Source organism: Homo sapiens, chromosome 8 (assembly GCF_000001405.40).
Source record: "Homo sapiens chromosome 8, GRCh38.p14 Primary Assembly".
NCBI classification, from domain to species: Eukaryota; Metazoa; Chordata; class Mammalia; order Primates; family Hominidae; genus Homo; species Homo sapiens.
This window is the reverse complement of record NC_000008.11, coordinates 120611907-120639033: the sequence shown is the minus strand read 5'-3', so window position 1 is coordinate 120639033 and position 27127 is coordinate 120611907. Positions and strand designations below refer to the sequence as shown.

The 27127-nt window shown below is 40.4% G+C and overlaps 1 protein-coding gene and 1 pseudogene across 4 annotated transcripts in view, besides 1 other annotated feature; both read left to right on the top strand.

Annotated features, from left to right (window-relative positions):
* SNTB1 (syntrophin beta 1) overlaps positions 1–27127 on the top strand; it is a 276291-nt gene that overhangs the window by 173013 nt on the left and 76151 nt on the right. For all 4 annotated transcript variants that reach the window (NM_021021.4, XM_047422126.1, XM_047422127.1 and 1 more), the window contains exon 3: positions 6383–6590. In NM_021021.4, coding sequence (NP_066301.1) covers positions 6383–6590 — 208 coding nt within the window. The remainder of the gene's footprint in view (positions 1–6382; positions 6591–27127) is intronic.
* On the top strand, positions 874–3550 carry NCAPGP1 (non-SMC condensin I complex subunit G pseudogene 1; annotated as a pseudogene).
* Positions 13059–13588: an enhancer, noted in NCBI's record as "OCT4-NANOG hESC enhancer chr8:121637686-121638215 (GRCh37/hg19 assembly coordinates)". NCBI's record gives its function as "activates a minimal SCP1, AML or CMV promoter by ChIP-STARR-seq in naive H9 embryonic stem cells {active_cell/tissue: H9 hESC(naive)}" and the evidence as "EXISTENCE:reporter gene assay evidence [ECO:0000049][PMID:30033119]".

Genomic DNA, 27127 nt, shown 5'->3' with positions numbered 1-27127 from the left:
GGAGAAATAGGAACACTTTTATACTGTTGGTAGGACTGTAAACTAGTTCAACCATTGTGGAAGACAGTGTGGCGATTCCTCAAGGATCTAGAACTAGAAATCCATCCCATTACTGGGTATATACCCAAAGGATTATAAATCATGCTGCTATAAAGATACATGTACACGTATGTTTATTGCAGCACTATTCACAATAGCAAAGACTTGGAACCAACCCAAATGTCCATCAGTGATAGACTGGATAAAGAAAATGTGGCACATATACACCATGGAATACTATGCAGCCATAAAAAAGATGAGTTCATGTCCTTTGTAGGGACATGAATGAAGTGGAAACCATCATTCTCAGCAAACTATCACAAGGACAAAAAACCAAACACCACATGTTCTCACTCATAGGTGGGAATTGAACAATAAGAACACTTGGACACAGGAAGGGGAACATCACACACCGGGGCCTGTCGTGGGGTGAGGGGAGTGAGGAGGGGATAGCATTAGGAGATATACCTAATGTAAATGATGAGTTAATGGGTGCAGCACACCAACATGGCACATGTATACACATGTAACAAACCTGCATGTTGTGCACATGTACCCTAGAACTTGAAGTATAATAATAAAAAAAGAAAAAAAAAAGAAAATACTCATTCCTCTTTCTGTAGCATAGTCATGCCTTAACCCATCAAGATGTATGAAGTGTCCAGAGAGGCACTGAGACGGATAGTGGGAGAGTGGAGAAGACTGTGTTTTCCCGCTTCTTCCACACTGAAGATGTAGGAAAGGGCAGATTTGCGGCAGCCTATCCACCAACCATGAAAATCCAACCTTTCTTATTGATAAAAGGGATGTCTGGTAACCCAGACACACACACACAAAAATGCTGGCTATTTGACAGGAGATTCCTACTCTACCCAAAACCCCAATATCCCTGGTTCCTTTTCTTATTGAAAGGCTGCCCCACATTATTGTAGATGATAATAAGAGAACAGAATTTATCTCAGAGATTGGGGCATACATTGTTACTGTTGGTGTTAATAATGACCCAGCTGATGCAAGAAAGGAAGGACTCAAGATGGCTGAAATAAAAGTTAAGCGTATTGAAGCCAAAGAAGCTTTAGAAAATTACATTACCTTACAGGATTTTAACTCGGCATCAAAATTAAAAGAAGAAATAAGAGTATTAGAAGATGTCAAAAGAAACCTTTTGCAAGAGACAGAGCAACTTGAAATCAAAGAAGTCCATGTAGAGAAGAATGACGCAGAAACATTACAGAATGTCTTATCTTATGCTGTGAACTGTTGAAGCAGATGTCCATTTCAACAGGCATAAGTGCAGCCATGAATGGGATCATAGAATTTTTATTCTTCCTAAAATAATAAATGTTTACCCTATAGTAAGAAGCCTGGCTGTTTTATGCTTGGGAGCTGCAGACTACAGAATCAGAATTTTGCACATAACACTTTGTGTTATTATTGCAGGTTTTGCAAATTGATGATGTCACAATAAAAATAAGTACTTTAAAGTGAATCTTTGACTAACTGATAATGTTTGAGGTTGAACCACTTAAACCTAAAAAATCAAAGCCTTTTAATATGAAGGTACAGAGATAAACAGTGATTTATGAGCAACAGTCATAAAAAGTTGAAAAGGCCCTTACAGCGAAGAATGTTCTGAAACTCCTTTCTGATTTCTTAGGTAGTGAGGTATCTACACTTAGGACAGGAGCCACAGGAGGACTAGCCAAGCTGATGTTCTCTGGGCTTTTGGTCAGCAGCAGACTTTTTCCCATCTTATTTTGTTATGGTAGAATCCTGTGACTGAAGAGGATGTTCGACTTTGACATTGCCTAGGCATGCTCTCCCCCATGTTTGCTTATGCAAACAGGACTAATCAGGAATACTTTAAAGAAGTTTCTCTTCCAAGCCTGCAAACACTGGCCAATGCTCCTGCATCTTCTCCTTTAGCTGAAATTGATATCAGAAATGTTGTTCAGTTACTTATAGATTTGACAAGAACAAGTAGATTAAATCCTCAGGCCAAGAATTCCTAAGATTATCAGGCCTTAACAGTACATGACAATTTGGCTATGAAAATTTGCAATGAGATCTTAAGAAGTCCATGCTCACCAGAAATTCGGGTCTCTATAAAAGCCTTGAGTTCTACTTTTACACTGTTGGTGGGACTGTAAACTAGTTCAACCATTGTGGAAGTCAGTGTGGCGATTCCTCAGGGATCTAGAACTAGAAATACCATTTGACCCAGCCATCCCATTACTGGGTATATACCCAAAGGATTATAAATCATGCTGCTATAAAGACACATGCACACGTATGTTTATTGTGGCATTATTCACAATAGCAAAGACTTGGAACCAACCCAAATGTCCAACAATGATGGACTGGATTAAGAAAATGTGGCACATATACACCATGGAATACTATGCAGCCATAAAAAATGATGAGTTCATGTCCTTTGTAGGGACATGGATGAAATTGGAAATCATCATTCTCAGTAAACTATCGCAAGAACAAAAAACCAAACACCGCATATTCTCACTCATAGGTGGGAATTGAACAATGAGATCACATGGACACAGGAAGGGGAACATCACACTCTGGGGACTGTTGTGGGGTGGGGGGAGGGGGGAGGGATAGCATCGGGAGATATACCTAATGCTAGATGACGAGTTAGTGGGTGCAGCGCACCAGCATGGCACATGTATACATATGTAACTAACCTGCACAATGTGTACATGTACCCTAAAACTTAAAGTATAATAATAAAAAAATAAAAAAAAAGAAGAAGAAGAAAGAGGAAGCTGAGCCAGCACCCTCACCATGTGATGCCCTGTGCTGCCTGGAAACTCTGCAGAGAGTCTGCATCAGCAAGAAGGACCCCACCAGACTCAGCCCCTCAACACTGGACTTCTCAGCCTTCATAACTATAAGAAATAAATTCCTTTTTAAAATAATAAAAAAAAAAGCCTTGAGTTCTTTAGAACTCAGTAGCCATCTTGCAAAAGATCTTCTGGTTCTATTGAATGGGATTCTGGAGCAAGTAAAGGAGAGGGCATATCTGAAAGCTTTGGAGAAAATCAAGATTCGGTTAGCAAAAAGGAAATAAAGAATTTGGTGACCAGCCTGAAGCAGCAAAGGATGCCAGCTTGACTACAACTATTTTTCAAAATGAAGATGAAAAGAATAAGGAAGTACATATGACTCTTCTTAGGGATGTAAAAGCAACCCTGGCATCAAAATCTACTCAACAAAAGACTAACAGGGGACAGAGAAAAGTGATAGCTTCAACTATGATGAAGAGGAGACATCACATTGCTGAGGCTGACTCTGAAAGTGACCATGAAGTTCTAGAACCAGAATCAGAAATGAAGATGAAACTAGCAAGACAAGCCAAAACAGCAGTGCTGGAAAAAAGTAAACTTAATCTTGCACAATTTCTCAATGAATATAGAAGTTAGGAAAGATGGTGGAGGTAGAGTTCTTTAAAATTATCTTCAGTTCTTTGCTTTAATAAAGTTACCTTTGTCAAAATTTTTAAAAAGGCCTTCAAAAGAAAATATTGTAAATGAAGTATTTGTATGTTTTAAATTCCTAGAATAATGAATATTGGCAGAATAACTTGAAAAGCCAGTTAATAACCATCATTGTCAATTAAAAATAAAGTTTTCAAGAAATAGAAGAAAAACACGTTGAGCTCTCATTAATGCTCTTGAGAATGCTAGTTTGTATTCTGCTCTGCAGCTTTACTGAAGAGTGAGAACTTAGGGAGAGAATGGAAACTCTCACCTTAGATTTATTACCCATTTTTTTGAAAAGTGCCTAAGAGGCATGAGATTTTTTTCTTCTGCGCGAGGACAGTTGTCACCTAAAGAATTCCCTGTTCCATCACATAAAATTTTTGTATCTTATTGGGGAGACTGGCTTTGCAAATTCCTTAAAAAGAATACTTTCTGGCTAACACGGAGAAACCCCGTCTCTACTAAAAATACCAAAAAAATTAGCTGGGTGCGGTGGCGGGTGCCTGTGGTCCCAGCTACTCGGGAGGCTGAGGCAGGAGAATGGCGTGAACCTGGGAGGCGGAGCTTGCAGTGAGCCAAGGTCGCACCACTGCACTCCAGCCTGGGCGACAGAGCGAGACTCCGTCTCAAAAAAAAAAAAAAAAATGAATACTAATTATGGCTAAAGTTCCCCTAGTGACATCTCACTTTCCAAATCATCTCTCTTCTACAACTTAATGCTTGTGGTAAGACGGTTTAGTCACTGTAAAAGTTTGGTTTCAAATGTTAACAAGGCCAAGTTGCATTGGGTCTTCTAACTCTCAGGCCATCTGCAAAATTGTTATTTTGAAACTCAGGATCTAGGTGGGACATTACTGGGCATAGTTGTTGATGATGAGTAGTACTACACTTCACATCACTGCAGGAGACAGTGAGTGCCCCCCATAAGACATTGTCCAATCTCAAGGAGAGGCATCGTGGTATAGTATTTAAATTCACAGGCTTTTGAGCCAATTTAACATGGGTTTGAATCCCAGCATCACCAACGGTGTGGCCTTGGGTAAATTACTTCTTCCTCTCTCTCTCTCCAAAGTTCCATTTTTTCCTCTGTTAAGGGGGGTTAATAATATCAGTCATAGGGCTATTAGAAGCATTATATGTAATACTATAAAATGATTTAAAAGTTTGCCTGGCACATAGTAGATTCTCAGTGAATAATATCATGATTATTAAGAGATGAAAGGAAGTTAATAAATGGATAATTCTATTGAGCTTTGAATTTCCGAATCCCTGTATCTTTCTAATGTAAACATGAATGAATAAATGATATTTATTGCATATATACGTGAATGAATATTGGGTTTTTTTTCTTTATGCAATTAAAAAGTATCTGTCTAAAATTTACAGATACGGAGAACAGGTTAGTTGTTGCCTAGGGATTTGGGATAGTGGTGGGTGTGGGGGAACACATGACTAAAAAGGGGTAGTTGCGGGGGAGATTAAAGATCTCTGCTTTGTGGTGATGGAGTAGTTCTGCATTGTGATTGCAGTGGGGTTTATACAAATCTACACGTGAAAAAAATGGCATAGAACTATACATTCACATTGTACCTATGTCAGTTTCCTAGTTTTGATACTGTACTATAGGAGGTAAAATATAACCATTGGGAGAAACTGGTGAAGGGCATCCCAGACTTCTTTGTACTATTTGTGCAACTCCATGCTAATCTACAACTACTTCAAAATAAGAAGTTAACGACATAAAGTATCTGTTGAGAATTTCCTTCTTTTACCACAATTACAGTATACAGATCTCTCTCTCTCTGTTTCTCCAGTAATCCAATTACAGTTCTGGCCTAAGTTTTGGTGTTGGACTTTTATTTTTATTTTAATTTATTTTATTTTATTTTATTTGAGACCGAGTCTTACTCTGTCACCCAGGCTGGAGTGCAATGGCTTGATCTCGGCTCACTGCAACTTCTGCCTCCCGGGTTCAAGCAATTCTCCAGTCTCAGCCTTCCAAGTAGCTGGGGCTACAGGCACCCGCCATCATGCCCGGCTAATTTTTGTATTTTTGTAGAGACGGGGTTTCACCATGTTGGCTAGGCTGGTCTTGAACTCCTGACCTCAGGTGATCTGCCCACCTCAGCCTTCCAAAGTGCTGGGATTACAGTCATGAGCCAGCGTGGTGGGCCTGGACTTTAAATAGAATACATTTAGTGCATCTCTCTCCCCATTGTTACCTCTTCCTAGGCCAATTCATGCCTTTACACCACAGGTTTGAGGATTAAGTGGAAGCTAAATGTGCTACAGATAAAATTCCTAAAAGATGCAAAGTTTGGTCATCTTCGATTCTAAAATATTCTCAATTGATTAACACTGAGCAGCAGGATTAAGCATGTGGCTTAATTGATTAACACTGAGCAGCAGGATTAAGCATGTGGCTAGATATATTTCAATCTGTTTCCTGCCAGCAGCAGCAAGGATGTGTGAGTATATTATTAAAATCCTCTGTGAATTAAGAAGTAAAGCAAATTAGTATCAGCTCACAGTTTGGAAGTCTCCATATGATACTACTAATCAGCAAATCAGCTGAGTAACAAGAAAATCAGATAACCTTAATTTAGGTGATTTGGTGGTTGCACAGCTGTGTTCCCAATATGTAGACCAGTACTTGGGAACCCAGTAAATATGCGTGGATGAATTAATGAGTGAACGAATGGATGGCGGGACTGTTAAGGCATCCCGTTAGAAACTGACAAAGTCTAAAAGAAGGAGTAAAGAATTAATTCACCTTTGTGACCCAGATCTTGACGAAGCAGGACCTGCCAGGAAACTTTCTAACCCTTCTCTCTGTGCTCCTCTAGGCAGCTTGAAATCCACTCTCCAGATGCTAAGCACACGGTGATCCTAAGGAGCAAGGACTCAGCCACGGCCCAGGCATGGTTCAGTGCCATCCATTCCAACGTTAATGACCTGCTGACCCGAGTGATTGCTGAGGTCAGAGAGCAGCTGGGGAAAACAGGCATTGCTGGGAGCCGAGAGATTAGGCATCTTGGCTGGCTTGCAGAAAAGGTAAGGAAAATACCTTCCTCTGTAATAGTCGTCCTCCCCGAGATTCCCCCAGCGCTCATAACCACTAAAACTATCTCATCCCATAGGCTGATTCTCTCATTCACAGTCTGTGTGGATTTCTCATTCCTCTCCAGCAGGCTACAGGCCTTTACATTATACATGGGTTTTGTCTTAATCAACTTTGATTACCTGCACTTAGTCAAACATGTGGCAAATTGCACGGGGTCCAGGTTGTTGGATGGATGAATGAGTGAGTCGAGGAATAGTTTGATCCTATTTTAACATCTATGTATGAAGGGAAGGGAAAATAACTCAAACTCAGAACAGAGCTCTTGCTTTGGGAGGCAAGGAAGTCAAAATTATTGCTTAAAAAGGGTTTGTGTGGGTTTTGATGAGCCTGTTTGTTTGAATTGAGATGATTCAATTATACATTTACAAATAACAGCAAGAATTACTTGAGCAATTACTATATGCTGGCTCTTTTCTTATGTTACCTTATATTTTATTTATGCTCTTAAGCCAGCCACTCTTTAATGTCATCATTAAAGAGCACCTACTTTTGTGAGGCACAGTGCTAGGCAGGAGTGGGGAAGGGAGTGAAAAGATAATAAAGACTTAGCCTCTGTCTCAGAGAGGACAGCTGCTGTGGAAAAGACTTTGGGTCATATTAACACAGTCCCTGATTTTTTTTTCCCAAGTTATGTGATATGTTAAAGATAGTAAAACTCACTCTGTGGCCATCTCTTGGGAGTTACTCTTTCTCTCTATTTCAAAGGATCGAGCCTTTGCCATTGTCCTTACACATGATTGCTGTCCCTTGAAGTTGACCTGGAGTGCTCAGGAACACTGGACTTTGGGAATAATCTGACCTCCCAGTGACTCACTTTCTAATAGGCAGTAAATGGGAATAGGGAACGTCACAATAACACCTTTCCTGCCAAAGAACCCTGTCATCTGAGAAGGCCCAGTCAAATGGCACCCGAAATAATACTCAGGTTTTCCACCATTGTTCTTTGTTTGCAGCAGATCATGCGCGGGTCTTAGCCTAAAAATTTAACACCAAATGGGTTGTTGGGCTTGGTATTGTCCTATCTCTCAAAGATTTCAAAGAACGAAAGGGACAATGCTGGTGGTAGGAGCATCCAAATTCATAATAAACACAAACCACCCGTAGCCCTCATGAGTTTATGTGTTAGGGTTCCTGAAGAAAACAAGAGCATAAATCTGGATGGCTGATATAATTTTGAAAGTCACGTCTCTATCACTCCCCACTTTCTACTCTCTCCAAATGCATGTGTTTTTATTAGGAAAAGGCCTGATACTCAAGGATCTTTCAATTACAAGTGGCAGAAAACTCAACTCAATTTAGCTTGAGCAAAATGAGCATGCCCGGGTTCTGATAACTGCAATGTCCAAAGATAAGCTTCAGGCATGGTGGGATCCAGGGACTTAAATAATGTATTAGGTCTAAGTCTCCATCTCTTTCTTTCCCTGTCCTTTCATTAGTTTATTACCAGGCTTCCTCTCTAGTTGGCCTGAGGGTTCCAGGCTTATGTTTTCTTTGCTCCTGGTTGTCTCAGTGAAGAAAGGCCTCTTTGCCCCAATTGTTTCAATGCAAGTCCTGAGATTATAAGTCTAATTGGGTTAACTTGGATAATCCGTTCAGTCTTAGTGCTGAAATCAGCCTCACCTAAGTCATTTGCAGTGAAGATGAGGAGGGGTGGTTCTCTAATGGAAAAAATCAGGTGCTGTGCAAGAAAAAGAATGAATGGATACCAGGGAAGCAAAAGCAAACATTTACTGTAGAAGAGAAGGAGCTGATTGGGATGAAAAATGCTCTCACTTGGTTAAGTTTCTGAGTGGACTTGGAGGTATAGCACATATTTCAGGATCCTGGCAGGAGATGGATGGGAAGGTCGAAAGGGATCATTGGAAAGGATTTAATGCAGGAATAATTTATAAGGTATAGCCAAGGTTTGGGAAACCAATAAGAGATAGAGAAGAACTCCAGGGCCAACAGTAGTAAGAAGCCACTACCATCCCTTGACCAGAAAGGGCAAGGAGAAGCAGCAGTTACCTGAGACTAGGGAGGCTTGTAGCTGTAGAAAAGTGCCACCCACTACCAGCTGTGGTCTTTGGAAGAGAAATGCAGCCCCTGCCAACCCCTGCCCACTGACCCCCTGCTAGTGTCTTCCACGGGCTGAAGCTGGCTGGAAGCCAGAGGTAAGAAGCCCCACGGATGCACTCTTAAAGTGAGTCTTCCAGGGTACAGAGAAGGATGGGAAAGGTAGAGACTGGATCTGAAGGGGCAAAGGGAGGCTGGCCAACACATGCAACCCTGCATCTACCAAGTTGATGGTCTTAATTCTTGAAGGTACTTTTCTCTCATCTCTTCAATCACAAGCTATGTTTAAAATCATTACCACTATTCATGAAATTAAAAAATCTTCCAAAAGTTACTCTTTCTCACCTATAATTTGTCTCATGCCTTTTGCTTATCCCAAATTATTAGCAGACATATTATTAGACATTCTCATGGAACAGCAATAAATGTGCATATAAAGCTCTTCCTGTTTTTAGCATATGATTGTTCTTATGGTGTAATTTCAGATCATCGTTCCAGAGGTCTCCTTAAGGGTATTATGCAGAGAATCTGTAAGAGCAATAATGATCATGGATAATTATGAGAAGCAAGAATGTCTTTTATTGCCTTCATTTTCACACTTCTCAGAAGATTACCATAGATCAAGTTTAAGGGAACAAATCCAAACTAGATTTTTTTGAATAAATATTTAATACTGAATCCTGGTGTGCAGATATATGAATGGTTTTTAGCAAAATGTTATAATGAATGGCAAATCCTTAATACGATGCCTTTCTTATAGTATCACAAATATCATGAATTTGCTTGGTATTTGTAAAGACATAAAATGTGACCCTGTATATATCTAGCTGTAATTGATCTTAAATTGATGTTCTTTGTCTTTTCCTATATTGTTATATTTTGATTTTGTAAATTTGTCACAGTCACTCTGTGACAAGGTTGTACAGATTATATTTAATTTAATTTCAAATTTTTAAAAGCGGCATTTATATGAACTCAAACAATATGAAACAACAACTTCCTTTTTAAAATTCCATTTAGTGCAAATCCTAAAACCTCCTCAACACTACACAGGAGGAAAGTTTAATATTAACATTATTTTTCTTCATGAGATAGTCAGGAGACTTGAAGAATGGCTTCTGAGAAATGACAGGGATTTGAGTGACTGGAGAAATTTCCCTGCACTCCAAGAGAGGAGAAAGAAGGAAGGCCTGTGTCAGTACAGCTTGTTGGGGGAGTCAGGGGAAGACCAGAGACTGATCTAAAGTGAAGCGAGAGTTCATCCTGGAGAAAAGTGACAAGCGGACCTGACACCTCGACTGGAACTTGATTGTGGAAGATTATTTTTTTAATAGACAGGGTCTCACTATGTTGCCCAGGCTGGAACTCCTGGACTCAAGCAATCCTCCTGCCTCAGCCTCCCAAGTAACTGGGACTACAAGTGTGTGCCACTGCACCTGGCTATCAATTATGGACAATCTGCTTTCCTCTGTGAGCACTGTCACCTGTAGATGGGTCATGCACATCAATGTAAAGCCTTTCCCATGACCATATTAGCCTCAACTCTTTCTTTTTTTTTTCTTTGAGATGGAGTCTCGCTCTGTCTCCCAGGCTGGAGTGCAGTGGTGTGATGTTGGCTCACTGCAACCTCTGCCTCCGGATTCAAGCAATTCTCCTACCTCAGCCTCCCAAGTAGCTGAAATTACAGGCGCATGCCACCACACCCAGCTAATTTTTGTAGTTTTAGAAGAGATGGGGTTTTGCTCTGTTGGCCAGGATGGTCTCGAACTCCTGACCTCAGGTGATCTGGCCACGTCGGCCTCCCAAAGTCCTGGGATTACAGGCGTGAGCCACCATGCCCAGCCAGCCTCACATCTTTTAACTCCTTGCAAGCCCCCATCTGGCCCAAGATGACCCATAAATACTAACTCCTGTGAATTGTAAAATGTGTCATGCCCCAAACACATTTTTCCCAATCTTTATTTCTTAGTTCATCTAATCCTTTTACAGTTATCATTACGTTTCAGATAAGAGAAAAACAAGCTAAGTTCTAGCTCTCTTGCTACTTAGAAAAACAGTAATAAACAGGGACACAGCAGAATTGTTGAGTTATATTTTGTGCTCAGTTCATCAGGCATTCCCTTTGCTTTCCCTTGTTATCTCGGTTTGCAAACTATTTCTTGTAGATTAAATACACAAAAACACAACACAGCAAAACAAAAGCCCAGTTGGGAGCTCTGAGATGCAAGTTCAGGTATCAGCTTTATTCATTTCCATTTCGTATTCTTTCAAATGGGAACGTTTATGTAGTTGTGCCTCCCCATGGTGTTACTGGAGAAAAGGAAGTTGGTAATTCATACTTATTGTGAGCAATATGCTTCAAATAATCCAAATCCAATGAGGTAAACTTGTAGTATTTGAGTCACTTTTCTAAGATCTCTCCTCTAGTATGTGGTAGATTTAGAATTTGAGCTTCTCTTTCTAACTCCAAAGTCCAGCACTTTCCACTAAGCTGAGATAATAAACGGGCCCAGGAAACATCTGTCCTTATGAGTAATGCCTCCAACAATCCCATCTAGAGCAGTATCGCAGACCAAAAGCACAGCTTCAGAGCTAAGAGACATACCAAGGTAATTCAAATCCTTTAAAATTATGAAAATAAGGGAAATTTGTATACCTAGGCCGGGCAACACTTACCAAGATCTTCTCATCTCTCCTATCCATATCCATCCTATATCTTCAACTGCTTCCATTCTTCTCATGACTCTAAAAGAAGAAAAACAAGAAGACATTCTCTCCTTTCTGTCCTTCTCTTCCATTCTTGACTATGTCAATCAGCTGAACCTCTCTGGTTAGGTTCCTTCTTTTATCTTCCACAGAGTAATCCTCCTCCCTTCTCTTCCTTCCTAATTTTGTACTATAAAATTTCAAAGAACAGGTCCTACAGAGACTGCAATCACATTTCATAGGGCAGATTAGGGGAAGGCAATTTGTATATACCCATACACACACACACATATCCATGAATTTCAGTTATCATTATTTAATTAGATACGCCAGTCTCTCAACAAAACGGTTCAAATTTCTGCTACCAAGGCATAGTAACTGTGAGTAATTTCATAAGTACAGACCTCATTGCTAAGTCTTCAGTTCACAAATCCCACCATGTAATTAGCAGATGTACATCCTGACTGGTGACCAATCACATCGCTTCTTTCAAAATCTATGGGTGATTGGCCATGGCACCTCTGTTAATCAGTTCACACACAGACAGCAAAGGAGATAACTCCCTTTCCTCCCTGTCTCCCAGTGACAAATCCATATGACACTTCACAAGAATGGATCCTAGAAAGAGGCAGTTGTCCCACAAAGATGACAGTGCAGCAAAGGTACAAAAAGTGGTAATGCTGGAAATGAAATTTGCATCAAACATAAATGGAATGATAGCAGAAATAGCTGCCCTTAGAAATGTTCACACTGATACTGTTCAAGATAGCAACCAGAAGAACTTAGGGAAGGTAAACTTATAACCTGTAAGTGAAGACTGTAGCTGTGATGAAGGATGAAGATGCCCCAGAGGAGGTGACACTTGTGAAAACTTCACATTAAAGAAACTCTCAAAGATAGCTCACATCATTGAAAGTGCAAAGGATAAAATGTTGCTAGCTGATCCAAACTTAGAAAGGATGATGACAATTTGTCAAAGCATTAAAAAAAAAAGCTTGTTCTATATTATAAGTTAGATGAGGAGAAGACAAAAAGGTCTATTCAAACTACTCTTCACTTTAATCCTCAATTCTTCTAATGTTTTAAATTAGAGATTACTAAATAAACATTTACTCTATTTTTCATCTCCCTATGCATATATAATTGACAGTAAGGCAGTTTTTAACATTTTGATAAAAAATTTTAAAGGTCATGTAATGATCCTAATTTTTCCAACTGATTAAGATTGCTTAGTGTGGTTTCAGCTTTCACAGTCATTTTTATTACCCAGCACTACTGTGCAAAGGCAGAACTGAGAGATTTCTCAATCTGTCTACCTCCCTGTATCTATCTATTCATCCCTATCTAATTACCTATTTATCTATGTGACTATATTGATCTCTCTCTCTCTATATATATATACATACTATAGTCTATATTCTTACATAATTTGTTAGATCACCATTAATTTTCAGTTCCAACAATAGCAATTTACTCATCCCCCCCAATTCTAGGTAACTAGAACCAACCAAGTGATTTCATTCTCTAGCTACATTGCCCACCTACATTAGAAGAATCTCAGTGTGAATGTAAAATAGCCCTGGCCCTAGTAAAACAGGCTGCTATAATCAAGATCTTGACAGTGTAATTAACAGAATGATATTTTTGGAGCCTCTAAATATATCAGCCCCACCATCTGCCTTAAAAAAATTACCTAAGTCAGAATTTCTCACTGCTTCTTCCAGGGAGAAAATAGTCTCTGACCTGAGGGAACTCCCATCTGATAAGAGATAGAAATAGAACTACTGTCCAAGCTACCCTGGCTTGCATCATCCCTAAATCAAGACTATTGGTTATGGTAGAAAACACAGGCTGTTAATGCAATTAAGTGCTAATAGTCCTATTGTGTTGCTTTAAAAGAGAGTCATCAAGTTCCTGAGTGAATCACCTCTGAGATGGAGCAAGACTAAGAAAAAAATCTGGCAGCAGCTTGGGAATCTTCCCATTAGTCTTTTGCTACAAGTGTTTAAACTAAATGTGCCAGTATGAATTTCATTCAGATTGCCTCCATCATCTATTCTCTCAAATGAAACATCAGAGATTTTAAATTGGGATGAGTGAGTAGGTGGGTGGCAGAGGCAGTATGAAATATGCCCACTTTTCTGCATGCCTTCACAGTCATCTGAATTTAGTAAATTGAATTTAGTAAAGTGAATTGTTCTCACCAAAGTGGAAACATCAGAGCTGCCCATGTAAGACAGGGGGGTGTGTACATTTTATTTCTTGTAGGCTGATTCATACAACTTCATATGGGCCTGCTTCAATCTCTTTGGAGAGAACCATAGAACTTGAGATAGAAAGCCCCCTGTGCCTGGCCACATGGTGCTATGGTTTGAACGTGTCCCCCAGTGTTCATGTGTTGGAAACTTAGTCCTTAATGCAACAGAGTTGGGACCTTTAAGAGGTGATGAGGTCTTGAGAGCTTTGCCTTCATGAATGGATTAACGCCATTATCGCAGGAATGGATTAGTTATTTCAGAAGTGGGGTCCTGAGAAAAAGGATGACTTCAGCCCACTTCCTGTTAGTTCACACGCAGACAGCAGGGCTGCCTCAGGCACTAGAGGCCCCATGTCTGTCCCACTGTGCCTAGGATTTGAGACATGGAGTCAAAGGAGATCATTCTCCGTCATTAAGTCTTAATGTTGTTTTCCCTTTTGTGTTTTGGACTTAACTGGGACCAGGTACCCCTTTCTTCTTGCCTATTTCTCCCTTTTGGAACAGGAATGTCTATCCTATGCCTGTCCTATCATTGTATTTCAGAAGTAGATAACTTGTTTTGATTTCACAGACTCACAGCTGGAGGGAATTTGCCTCAGTATGAATTGTAATTTTGAGTCTCATATCTGATGTAGATGAGACTCTGAACTTTGGACTTTTGAGTTGGTGCTGGACCAAGTTAAGACTCTGGGACTATTGGGATGGAATGAATATATTTTGCATGTGAGGAGGACATGAATTTTTGGGGGAAGGCGTGGAATGCTGTGGTTTGAATATGTCCCCAAAGTTCATGTGTTAGAAACTTAGTCTACAGTGCAACAGAGTTCCATTGATGGGACCTTTAAGAGATGATTAGGTCATTGGGGCTGTGTCTTTATGAATGGATTAATGCCATTATCATGGGCGTGAGTTAGCTATTGCAGAACTGGGCTCCTGATAAAAAGGATGCTTGACCACCTTCCAGATTCTCTCATGTGCATGCTCTCTTGCCCTTGCTTCTTCTGTCATGGGATGACACAGCAAGAAGGTCCTCACCAGGTGCAGGCCCCTCATCCTTGGACTTCCCAGCCTCCAGAACTATAAGACGTAAATGTCTTTCCTTTATAAATTACCTAGTCGGGCAGGTGCGGTGGTTCATGCCTGTAATCCCAGCATGTTGGGAGGCTGAGATGGGTGGATCACTGGAGGTCAGGAGTTTGAGACCAGCCTGGCCAACATGGTGAAACCCCATGTCTACTAAAAATACAAAAATTAGCCAGGTGTGTTGGCACATGCCTGTAGTCCCAGCTAATCAAGAGGCTGAGGCAGGAGCATCACTTCAACCCCGGAGGCAGAGGTTGCAGTGAGCCAAGATTGCACCACTGCACTCCAGCCTGGGTGACAGAGCAAGACTCTGTCTCAAAAAAACAAACAAACAAACAAAAAATTACCCAGTCTACGGTACTCTGTTGCAGCAACACAAAACAGACTAATGCACGTGGCTAGCAGACTCTGTTGAACCTACTTTAATCTTATTGGGCATTGTGGATTGCCCTTTCTTTATGAAATAGATGTGTTCCAGAAGAGCTGCCTGACTTTGGTCAAAACACAATGATTTTCCTATTAATTTCTATTATTTGATTTTTCTGGTCACCTCCTCTTTGCCCCACTGGTAAGGGAGATATTCCCTACCTGAAACAGGATGAGATGGTGAACGCACTCTACTCAGCACTGGACAGATGAGATTAGCAGCAGTTTATTAGTCACATATACTCACAGCCTGGGAGAAGGACACTGCACGCCGTGCAGGACCACATTGGGGTTGCACTAGGGAGCAGAGTGACACAGCAGAAGCACTGGGAAGCATATTTTGCAGTAATAGGAGGATGAGGTGTGCCCTGGTTCCTAGGGGAGGATGTGATTGGATTCTTTGAATAATTTCACAGGCTGTTAGGGAAATAAAACCCACTAGGTTGAGGACTAGGTGCAGTGTAGCTGGTCCAGCTGATAAGAGAACTAGCTGGGTGGCAGGCATATCAATGGAACCAGGTTAACTCACCAGTAGGCTTTTGGAAACATGTGAGGCTCAAATATGTCAAGGCAACACATGAAGTTTTAAGCCTTACAATGATCATGAGGCCTTACATTGATCAATGTCTCCAAATTCTTTAGAAGCAGAGTCTGAGACGGAGATTCTTGGGGAGCAATCAACTGAGTGAGGCTCTTAGGAGAAACCTGTAAGGAAGTGAGTGAAGCAGGCTAGGCTGCAGAGGAAGGTAAACAGAAATGTAGTATTAGCTGAAATCTAGTTTCAGCCTGATCCCACTGAAGCTCAGGAGTAGGAATAGCAGCACAGAGTTCTCCCACTTTAAGCCAAGGGAGCCAGGACTTTGTACACCCATATAAGGCAGCCACTGGCTGTGGTCTCCCATAGAGGTAAAGAGTGGCCATTCCCATCAGCCAAGGGCAATTCTCTAGAGAAGGAAAAGGTTAAGCTGTGACCAGTCAACATGCACATCAGGTAAGGCTAGAGTGCACTGGCCTAACAAAGGGAATTTTGGCAGGGGACCAACAATATCTACTATAATCACTGGTGTGTTCCCATGAGGGGAGGAATTCCAGCAGGGATTCCTTTAGGTATATGGGACCTTTAGGTGGGACAGACTTAAATATAATGGCTAGTACTGTGACATGTTGAAGGTTATAGCCACCACCTAGAAGTTTACTTTTATTTACAGCTGTATTCACATTCTGATAACTCACATTGGCATTTACTTGCTCCCTTGTCCCTCACATCATGGAATAATTATTTTTTTTAATGCTTTGAAATTCTCAAACATCATTTTCAGAGTTTCTTTGCATCCTTATATGTTTGGTTTGGGCTTTTTATTACTTCTAATAGTACTGGGCTGCTATGCAATGCAAATGAACACATTTCATTTTCCATCCTGAAACTCTCTCAAGTTGGTATTTTCAGGTTTGTAAGCTGAATTCATTTTCTGGTTTAGCAAGTCAGTCAGTGTGAAGTTTTTAAAATATTGATTTTATTTATAATTAGGGTTAGAAATATAGGTGAAGCTGTAATTCTAGAATCTGATTTAAGAACATCCATATCTACATATGGGCTGCATCAAGGTGAAAACAGAGATCTTTACGGAGCTGGAGAGGCCAAGCAGGACTCTCAGAATTACGTTAGTCACTTTATCACAGTGATTCAGAGAGAGAGGCCCTAAAATATTTCTCCATGTGTTTTGGCCCCGCAGCTTGTAACCCTGCCAAGAAAAGAGGCTGCTTCTTATTTAGTTCTACAGTTCCAGTGCCTAGACAGTGTCTGGGGAATAGTAAGGGGTCAACTTAACGTTTGTTGAATGCATGAGATGGTGGACCAGTGATGTTAGCCAGAAAATGATTCCCTGTTGGCAGTAGACACTGCAACACATTTTCTCTGGGAATGAGGTACAATTCACATTATTGGTTCAAAGTGGCTTTGCTGGGGATCGGGGAGGAGGGAGGGAAACCCAGGCACTTGGTCTGAGTCAAAACGTGGAGGAGATCTCTGGAAAAATGAGAAAGAGAATGAAAGAGTGAAACCTGGGGGTGCATGAAAGGAGAAAGAAGATGGAATGATAGTTGGTTTCTGGTCACGGTGACCCATTGACCAAGCTCTCTCTTGCCCTGTGTAGAATTGACACATTCCTTCTGTTCTGAAAAGCTTCTGAAATATAACTCATAATGCCTATTACTACACTTGTTTGTTGATCTATTGTGTTGATGCGAAAGTAATTGTGATTTTTGCCATTACTTTAATTATGCAATTACTTTTGCACCAACCTACTACTTTATTTTGGCTCACAAAACATGTGGCTGTACTGTTCATTGTACTCTCTGACCTCCCTTCCCTACCCCTCCACTTTCCCATTTCTCACTTCTTGTTCTTTTATTCTCTGCTCTGTATACAAACAGACTAAATCTTCCCTGAACTAATCTTGGCATCTTCTCAGTTGCAGGTTCCCTAGACACTTTACTGCATCTTCTTTTCCCTAGTTAGCTGTCCACTTATAGGGTCACTTTCCTGCTCAGTAGCACCTCCACCAGTGGGCATGAAAGAGGGAATAAAGGCCGGGCATGGTGGCTCACGCCTATAATCCCAGAACTTTGGGAGGCCAAGGTGGGTGGATCACCTGAGGTCAGGAGTTCAAGACCACCCTGGCCAACACTGTGAAACCTCGTCTCTACTGAAAATACAAAAATTAGCCGGGCATGGTGTCGGGTGCCTGTAATCCCAGCTACTTGGGAGGCTGAGGCAGGAGAATCACTTGAACCCGGGAGGTGGAGGTTGCAGTGAGCAGAGACTGCACCACTGTACTCCAGCCTGGGGGAGGTAGAGAGAGAGGGAGAGGGAGAGAAAGAAAGAAAAAAGAAAGAAAAGAAAAGAGAGGGAAGAAGAGAGAGAGGGAGGGAGGAAGAGAGGGAAGGATGGAGGTAAGGGAGGGAGGGAGGGAGGAGGAAGATGCATTTTAACCCAGTTGGATTCTCATAAGAGGCATTGGAAAAAAGTGTGCTAGAGGATTCCATCAGTAGGCATGTTTGTGTATTTTACAAAGTTTCAGGCAGACATTCACTTTTGTGTGCCTGGATCTCTGAACACACCATAAGATAACCTGAAGTCAATAGTGTCAGTGCTGAAAACACAAGAATATCCCTGGTGTGTGTGGGGGTGGGGGTGGGGGGAGTTGTGCTGCACAGTTTAACTGGCTGTATATTAGCTGTTGAATTCAAACATCAACCATTTTGGCTAAGGTGAATTGGAGAACCTAGAAATAAAATTGGGGTCAAGTAAGTGCAATAAGAACTTATCGAATGAATATGTGGGAGGCAGGGAAGGGCAGTGAAGTACCATACTATAGAAGGAAGAGCAGGGGCTTTGCATGGAGACCTACCTGGATTTTAATCCCCAGTTTGCTACTTACTGGTTGAGTGACTTTTGACAAGTTTTTAAAAAATATTTAATCCTCACTTTTTGTGTCTATAAAAAAAAGATATTAATACCTACTGCAAAAGATAATTTATACAACTTAATTGAAATTGTTTTTGTATAATGGCTGGCACAGGGCCAGCACATAGCATCCAATAAATGTAATCCAGCAGATGAGGGCAGTCAGCTCTCTAGCTTGCATGTCTTATTAGAAAAGTAGCAGTTACTTTTGGAGTATTTTTGGAATGGAGTTTGTATAGAGGCCTCTAGAAATCTCCAAATTTGTGAATGCTACTATATGTGTGTGTGTGCACACACACACACTTTCTTCTATTAAGTGCAATAAAAATGAGTTGTACTGGACTTTTTTTACTGAAATATTGATTTACCAAATGGCTCAGAACTACTGATCCAATATTCTATTCTTTAATTTATCCCTAACTTCTATTTTCTGGCAAAGAACTATCATCTTCACAGAACTTCCATCAACACCATCGTTTGGCTTTTTAGGCCATTTTACAAAAATGTGTGTGTCTTTCATGCCTTCATGCAAGGGTAGGACAGCAGAGCCATGCTGACATGCCTAGAGAGGGGGTTATCTGGGCCTCCTCCAGGTCTGAGTGTCAGACCACACTTCAAAACTGGCCCTTAACACAATGACAAATTAGTGCAAGTCATCAGCATTCAAGGTCACACAGAGTAAAAACTGTATTAAATCATGAAGGCCAAAGATCTACCGTAAATGGTAGAGTAAAAACTGAACTTAATAAAGAATCAAAATCAATACTTAACAATAGTGCTGACAAAATTAGGGAGGCAGAATGCACTGTGTGAAATGGGGTTTCCAAAGAGAGCTTGATGGGAAAAATCAGGCTGAATAGTCTTCAAAAGGGGAAAGATTTAAAAGCTTCAAATGGATCATAGATGACCTGCTGTCTAATTTCACAAGGTCCTGAAATAAAGAACATATTACTTCATGTCTGGAAAAGAGGTCATAAGTCAGAGTTAACGTAAATCAATTCCAAGTTCCCTGAAAATGAAATCTCTCTCTTTCTCTCTCTCTGTCTCTTTCTCTCTCTCTCTCTCTCTCTATATATATATATGTATAATTTTCACCAATACCCCATTATGAATCTTGTAGAAGTAACTCCATATTTAATGAACTGTAAATTATAAGAACACCTTTCTAAAGTTTATATAAAATTGATTTTAAAAGGCAATTTTAAATTAGTATAAAAATGATCTTTCAATAAAAGCATAAAATAATGTATTCATAATTGCTGTATTTCTTTTCACTGCAAGATACCAGAAATTGAAGGAAGAAGTATTTTTAGGAATTTTAGGGTTCTTGATGGCTTTAGTAGAAACTAACCCATAGATATGGATTTTATTGTTTTCTCATTTTTCTATTTAAACTTCTAACAAACTAGAACCTTAAACATAATTGCTAGTTATTATGGTGCATTTGAAAAAGACAGGTTTCTGGAAGCTTAACCATGAACCTTGATATTTTTCTGAGAAAATGGGCCTCAGAAATGTGGAAACCAACTTCTCCCAGCTCTAGATTTTCCACCCTCTGCCCTTTTACCATATTGTTTCTCCTCCTTGCCAAGCTTCAAGGCTTTAACTTGAATAATAACTGGGTTGAAAGGTAATTTCATCCAGCGTCCAACAGCCAGAAACCAGAATGGAACTGTCACAGAAATCTATTTTTTATTTATCCCTCATCTTTTAGGGATTGAACATCTTTTTGCTTATAAATAATCAAGTGATTTTTTAAACAAACAAATATATGACTAGTCATTTTCTTATCCATTTGATAAACACTATTCAGCACCTATAATTCATTCATTCTGTAAGTAACTATTGAGCACATACAATATGCCAAGCAAGTGAAAGTAGTGGGACTATGATGGTGACACGTCAGACAAGTTCCTTGCTGCACTGGAGCTTACTTTCAGCAGGGGAGGTAGATAATTTGTAAGAAAACAAACAATTCAGATTGTGATATGTGCTGATAAAGAGAATGGGCAATATGAATGTAAGGGACAAGGAAATTAATTTTAGATAATTGTTTATAATAGGTGAGGCAGTAAGCTGGAGATACAAAGATATTCTCAGGGAACTCACAAACAAATGAGGAAGACAAACATGGAACCTAAGAATTTCAAATACAGACCTGTGCATGCTATAATTTATTTCCATATTAAATCAGTGGGGGCTCAAAGGAAGAAGTCAGCTCACTTGGACTAAGAGGTTAAGAAAGCTCTTAAACTGAATCTTAAAAATCAGGTAGAGAAAGACTTTCCGGGTTGCAGAAATAGTATGTGCAAAGGCATAAAGACGCAAAATGCATGGCCTCGTTTAAGAATAGCCATTAATCTTAGGTGGCTAGAGCACTAAATATATATATATATACATATATTCAGGTGATACTGCCTTTCTTAGCAACACCCTTAGGCAGTTGTACCTTCACTCGTTTGCTGCTGTATTGCATTTTTAGAATTCTTCTTTGGAATCGCCTTCAAAGGCAGTATATGAAAATCTACTTTACAGTCACATGGGCATCCCCCTTAGTCCAAATGTATTTTCTCTCTCTTCTTCACTTTCACCCTGTTTGGCTTAACTGATCACCTTGTACCTATTCTAAGGAGACCTCCGGTCTCAGAGCTAGGGATCTGGAGGCGAGTTCTGAGTATGGAGCAAGGTTGGACACGCTATTATGCCCACCAAGGCTGACCAACAAAACACCTCATCCAAAATGCACGAGGAAGCCCAATACCGTAAGTTCCTTTGGAAAATAATTCAACAGCATTTTTTGAGTCCCCACCACTGGGTCAGGTAGGTGTTCTATTCTACCTTAGCACTCGTTCTAGTGAGTTTTACATATCAATTCAGTCTTCACCCAGTATTTATAAATCTGTGGATTATCTTTCTTTTAAAAAATTAGACAGATGTAGCAAATTGCTTTTGTGAAATATAGCCTAGAGCTTTATGTATGATACCAAAGTGGATTTAGAAGTGAACACTCCAGTTTCTCATTCCACAAAAATATTCTTCCTTGGTGTCCCAACTCTAAGAACCACATGAGTTATAATAGCAAAATTAAATATTTGCTTGGGGCTTTATAGAGTGATTTTATATTCCTTACTGCCTTTAACATGGTAAGAGCTCACTGATTCTACACCAGGGGTGTCCAATCTTTTGGCTTTCCTGGGCCACATTAGAAGAAGAATTGTCTTGGCCCACACACAAAATACACTAACACTAACGATAGCTAATGAGCTTTTTAAAATTGCAAAAAAACTCATAATGTTTTCAACACAAATTTGTGTTGGGCCTCATTCAAAGCTGTCCCGGGCCACATGTGGCCCATGGGCCATGGGTTGGACAAGCTTGTTCTACACCATTATCTGCCAGAGCAGATGATTTGATGAGTGAGCATATGCCTGTGCACCAGGCTGCTGGCCTCGCTCTGCAGGAGCCACGTTCCCTTTCAGGAGGAGCACAGGCATCTTCAGCAATGTTGTGTGCACCTCCTCGTTGTCATGGTGCAAAGTGCTTATTGGGATTCTGCCAGAAAAGATGTGATCATTGAGAATAAAAACTACTCTTTGAATTGTGCTAATAAGAAAGCTGATCCTTGGTGTTGAAATGATTAGTTTGACCTTTAATTTTTTAAGTGGCTTTATGCAAATGGAAGTGCTGCATGCTGTGTAATTTTAAACATAATATTATATTTGTTTGGTTTTCTTTTTCAAACCAGGACTGCAAAAATCAAGCTAGGCCTGGCATGGTGGCTTATGCCTGCAATCCCAGCACTTTGGGAAGCCAAGTTGAGAGGGTCACTTGAGGCCAGGAGTTTGAGACCAGCCTGGGGCAATGTATCAAGAGCCCCCCATTTTTACAAAAAAAAAAAAAAAACTTTTTTTAGTTAGTCAGGTGTTGTGGTGTGCCCCTGTAGTTCTAGCTTACTGGGAAGGCTGAGGCAGGAAGATCACTTAAGCCCAGGAATTCAAGGCTGCAGTGAGCTATGATCACACCACTGTACCCCAGGCCATGTGAAAGAGTGAGACACTGTCTCAAAAAAAAAAAAAAAAAAATCAAGCTAATCTTAAGCACCAGTGTTGAGTCAAGTAGTCGAATCTAAAATCACCAACTGCTAGTAATCTCTTCCTCATTGGTCCACCCTTAAAGAAAAGGAAAGTTGATGATACTACCCAAAATGTACTATTAAATAATTATTCTTGAATCATTACCGACTTGGAGATGTGAGGAAGGCTTCCTTTCCTAATATTATTTTTTCACTCCTACAAGAGTTTGTTGTCCTCCAGGAAAAGGTGATAAGAGGTGTGTAGGCACTATGTGGGTGCTGAATGATGAATTACAGAGGATAATTTAGGAGGCCCCACCCTGAGGTGAATAGTTAGCTTTTAAAGAGTTACATCCAGTTAAGGAAAAAATTGGTAGGAAAGAAAGAAGAAAAGATAAAGGGAGAAGAACAGTTAGTTTTTAAAGAGCTACATCCAGTTAAGAGAGAAATTGGTAGGAAAGAAAGAAGAAAAGATAAAAGGAAGGAAAGGAAATGAAAGGAAAGGAAGAAAACTAAGGAAGGAGAAAGACATGCTGTAATCTTTTTACCTCCGTTCGATTCAAACTGGCTTATGTTATTCAGATGGCAGAAATAACGTTTGCACTTAAAGAGACTTGCTTTAAAACTTTCAGCTCTGACCTTGAGGCTGCTCACTTGGCCATCTAATGAATGGTATTTGGTTCCTGGAAATATGATAATGCCATTTGCACGTTCAGTTTCTCCTATTTTGGTGGTAAATCCAATAAATTCTTCATGTAAGCAGAAAGGCAAATTGACAACCATGAAGCCCTGTGGGTTCTGCAAAGGGATTTTTCCTCCCCTCAGTTTTTAATGAGGCCCCATATTCATCATCTTCCCCAATGGCTACTTTGAGCAAGATGTGCTCAGTGTGTGCTGTTGAGCTGATGCCAAGCTGCTGACCTTTGCATTCGGTGAGCCCTCAGCTGAGAATCTGACCTAAGATCAGACATATTGTTGGATCCGTCATGTTGATTCTTGGCTCTGATACTAATGGGCAGCTAATGAGTTCATGGTGTACATATTAACCCCGGCTCTGGCGACGCTAATGCCAGATGCACAGTGAGTTGGAGTTGTGGGGAGGGAAGCAAGATGCCCAGTGCACTAGCATCTTTTTGTTTTGTTTTTTTTGTTTTGTTTTGAGATGTAGTCTCGCTCTGTCACCACACTGGAGTGCAGTGGCGCAATCTCGGCTCACTGAAACCTCCGCTTCCTGGGCTCAAGTGATTCCCCTGCCTTAGCCTCCTGAGTAGCTGGGACTACAGGTGCGTGCCACCACACCAGGCTAATTTTTTTTTTTTTTTTTTTTTTTTTAGTAGAGGTGAGATTTCACCATGTTGGCCAGGATGGTTTCAATCTCCTGACCTCGTGATCCACCTGCCTCAGCCTCCCAAAGAGCTGGGATCATCTTAATAAACGTGAGCAATTAGAAGAGCCGTGTTGGTAGAATGCCTGTTTCATGGCTTATGGGAAGTAATATGCAATCTAGAGGTGGAAAAAACATACTGTCTTATCTCTCCTCTCAAATTAAAAAAAAATCCCTCCACCTCAGAGAGGTGCTTTACGAACTGTGAAATAGGGAGAAAAGTTGAAATGTTTGAAGAGTCCGATAATGGCTTTTATTACCAAGGGGAAACTGATGTCCAGCCCTGCTGTTGAGTAACAGTAGATTTAAGACCTCCAGGCGTGGCCATGTGGCATTGACCACAGGCACATTGGTGACATTTCAAGACAGTGCTGTGTTGTCTGTTTTCTTCAAGAGCTGGCAGGCCAGAGCTAAGGCATAGAAGGGCATGCTACTCTGGCCTTGGAAACAAGTTTTCAAAAGGCAGTGGTGTAAAGAATTTCTACCAGCACACTCTGAAAGACATAATATGCCAGAGAAGGAGTTGTGTCTAATTTGTTCCTGCACCTGAAGTGCCTACCACTGTGTTTCTGGCCACTAGTTTAAGACAGATTGGTTGAACTGGTTAAGGAGTCATGAAAATTGATTATACACTCCACCAGGCTACTAAGGATAGCTGTTTTACTTTGGACAGGGTATCTCTCTTAAATTTGTTTCAGCTGCCTCATATTACAGATGAGAAAACCGAGACACAGAAAGGATAAATAACTTTGCACTGTATTGCACTGATTTCCCTAAGAATGTATGTTATATGAGAAAGAAGGATGCCTGCTGTAATGCTGTGGATAAACAGTGTGCATGGAGCCCTAAAGAACCAATTCTCATCCTCACTGCTCTTTCTGTTTTTTCTTGGGCAAACCACTGACAGTCTCTCTGAGCTCCTGCATCCTGCCTCATAAATGGTAAATAATGCACGTGAAAGCACTGCATAAACTTTAGATCCCCATATAAAGATAAGCTCTTATTATTATTTTCCAAGACACTGCTTCCCCAACTCTGTCACTACAGTTTATATGAGAAAAAGAAAACGAAGAGTCCACAATCAAATAACTGAAAAGTGAGATGTCCTGATACAAACAAATACATTTGAATTTGTTTAATATAGTGAATCCTAAATCAATCTCACCACTCTGATACCCAACAAAGATTAATAACCACTACCGGATACATGGTAATTCTACATTTTATCCTTAAAAAGACAGAAACAAAGAATGCCATGTACTTTTTCCTGTATAAATGTCAGTAAACCTTATATTTATTCATTCACTGTCACTGAGCATCTGGTACATTATTGTAGTACATGACATTACTGTATACTAGCAGTACTGTAATGTTGATCTCCAGAGTGTTGCCTGGAGAGGAGATGGTGGGATGGTGTTAATTAAAAATGCAGATTTTGTACCCATTAACAAACCACTCTTCATACCTCACTTACCTTTCCCAGCCTCTAGTAACTACCATTCTACTATCTTTCCCAGCTTCTAGTAACTACCATTCTACTATCTACCTCCATGCAATCAACTTTTTTTTTTTTGAGATGGAGCTGCACTCTTGTTGCCCAGGCTAAAGTGCAGTGGCACAATCCCGGCTCACTGCAGCCTCCACCTCCTGGGTTCAAGCAATTCTCCTGCCTCAGCCTCCCAAGTAGCTGGGATTATAGGCGCCCACCACCATGCCTGGCTAATTTTTTGTATTCTTAGTAGACACAGGGTTTCACCATGTTGGCCAGGCTGGTTTTGAACTCCTGGCCTCAGCTGATCCACCCGCCTCAGCCTCCCAAAGTGCTGGGATTATAGATGTGAGCCACCATGCCCAGCCAAGATCAACTTTTTTAGTTCCCACATAAGAGTGAGAAAATGCAATATTTTTCTTCCTGTGCCTGACTTATTTCGCTTAACATCATGACCTCCAGTTCCATCTGAGTGACTATAGTTAACAATATATTATATATTTCAAAATAGCTAGAAGAGAAGATTTGGAATGTTCCCAACACAAAGATATGATAAATGTTTGAGGTGATGGTTATCCTAAATACCCTAATTTGATCTTTGCACATTTCATGCATGTTATCAAAATACCACGTGTGCCACAAATATGTATAATTATTCTGTATCAACAAAAAAATTATGGCCAGCTGTACTTTTGTCTCTACTAAAAATACAAAATTAGCCAGGCATGGTGGTGTGCACCTGTAATCCCAGCTACTAGGGAGGCTGAGGCAGGAAAATCGCTTGAACCCAGGAGGCGGAGGTTGCAGTGAGTTGAGATCGAGCCATTGCACTCCAGCTTGGGTGACAAGATCAAAACTCCATCTCAAAAAAATAAAATAAAAGCAGATTTGGGGACTCTACCTTAAACCCACTAATTCAGAATCACCCCAGTGGCTAGGGCTTGGAAATCTATATTTTCAGCAAGCTCCCAGGAGATTCCGATGCCTAACAGTGTTTAATAACCACCACTGTATACTGCATTGTGGAACACCACATGCTATGGAGTTAGTCCCCTTGGTTCTATGACTTACTAGCCTTGTGACCTGGGCAAGCTACTTTAATGTTTCTAAGCTCCAGTTTTCTTATCTGTGAAAGGGATGTAATAACTACTTTGCAAATATTTTGTGAAGATTAAATGATATAATACATGCAAAGTGCTTGTTATAACATCTGATATTATAAGATCTCATTCGTAGTAATGGCTACTGTTATTGTTATTATAAGGACCACTACGCAAAGTGGAAATATCAGTTAAACACGATGGCTTTCTCGAAGGCTCACTGTTCAGTGCCAGTGTTAAATTTTAGCAGCTAATTGCAGGCACCATGATGTACACTACAGGGGAGACGTGAATGAAATCAAATGGAAATTCAGTGACTCACTCTGTTTGGAGGGACTTGTGGAAGGCTCACCAGAGAAGACATGTGAGCCGATCTTGAAGTAGGTGTCTTCTAGGTAAGAACCAACCTCACCTATACACAGAAAAATA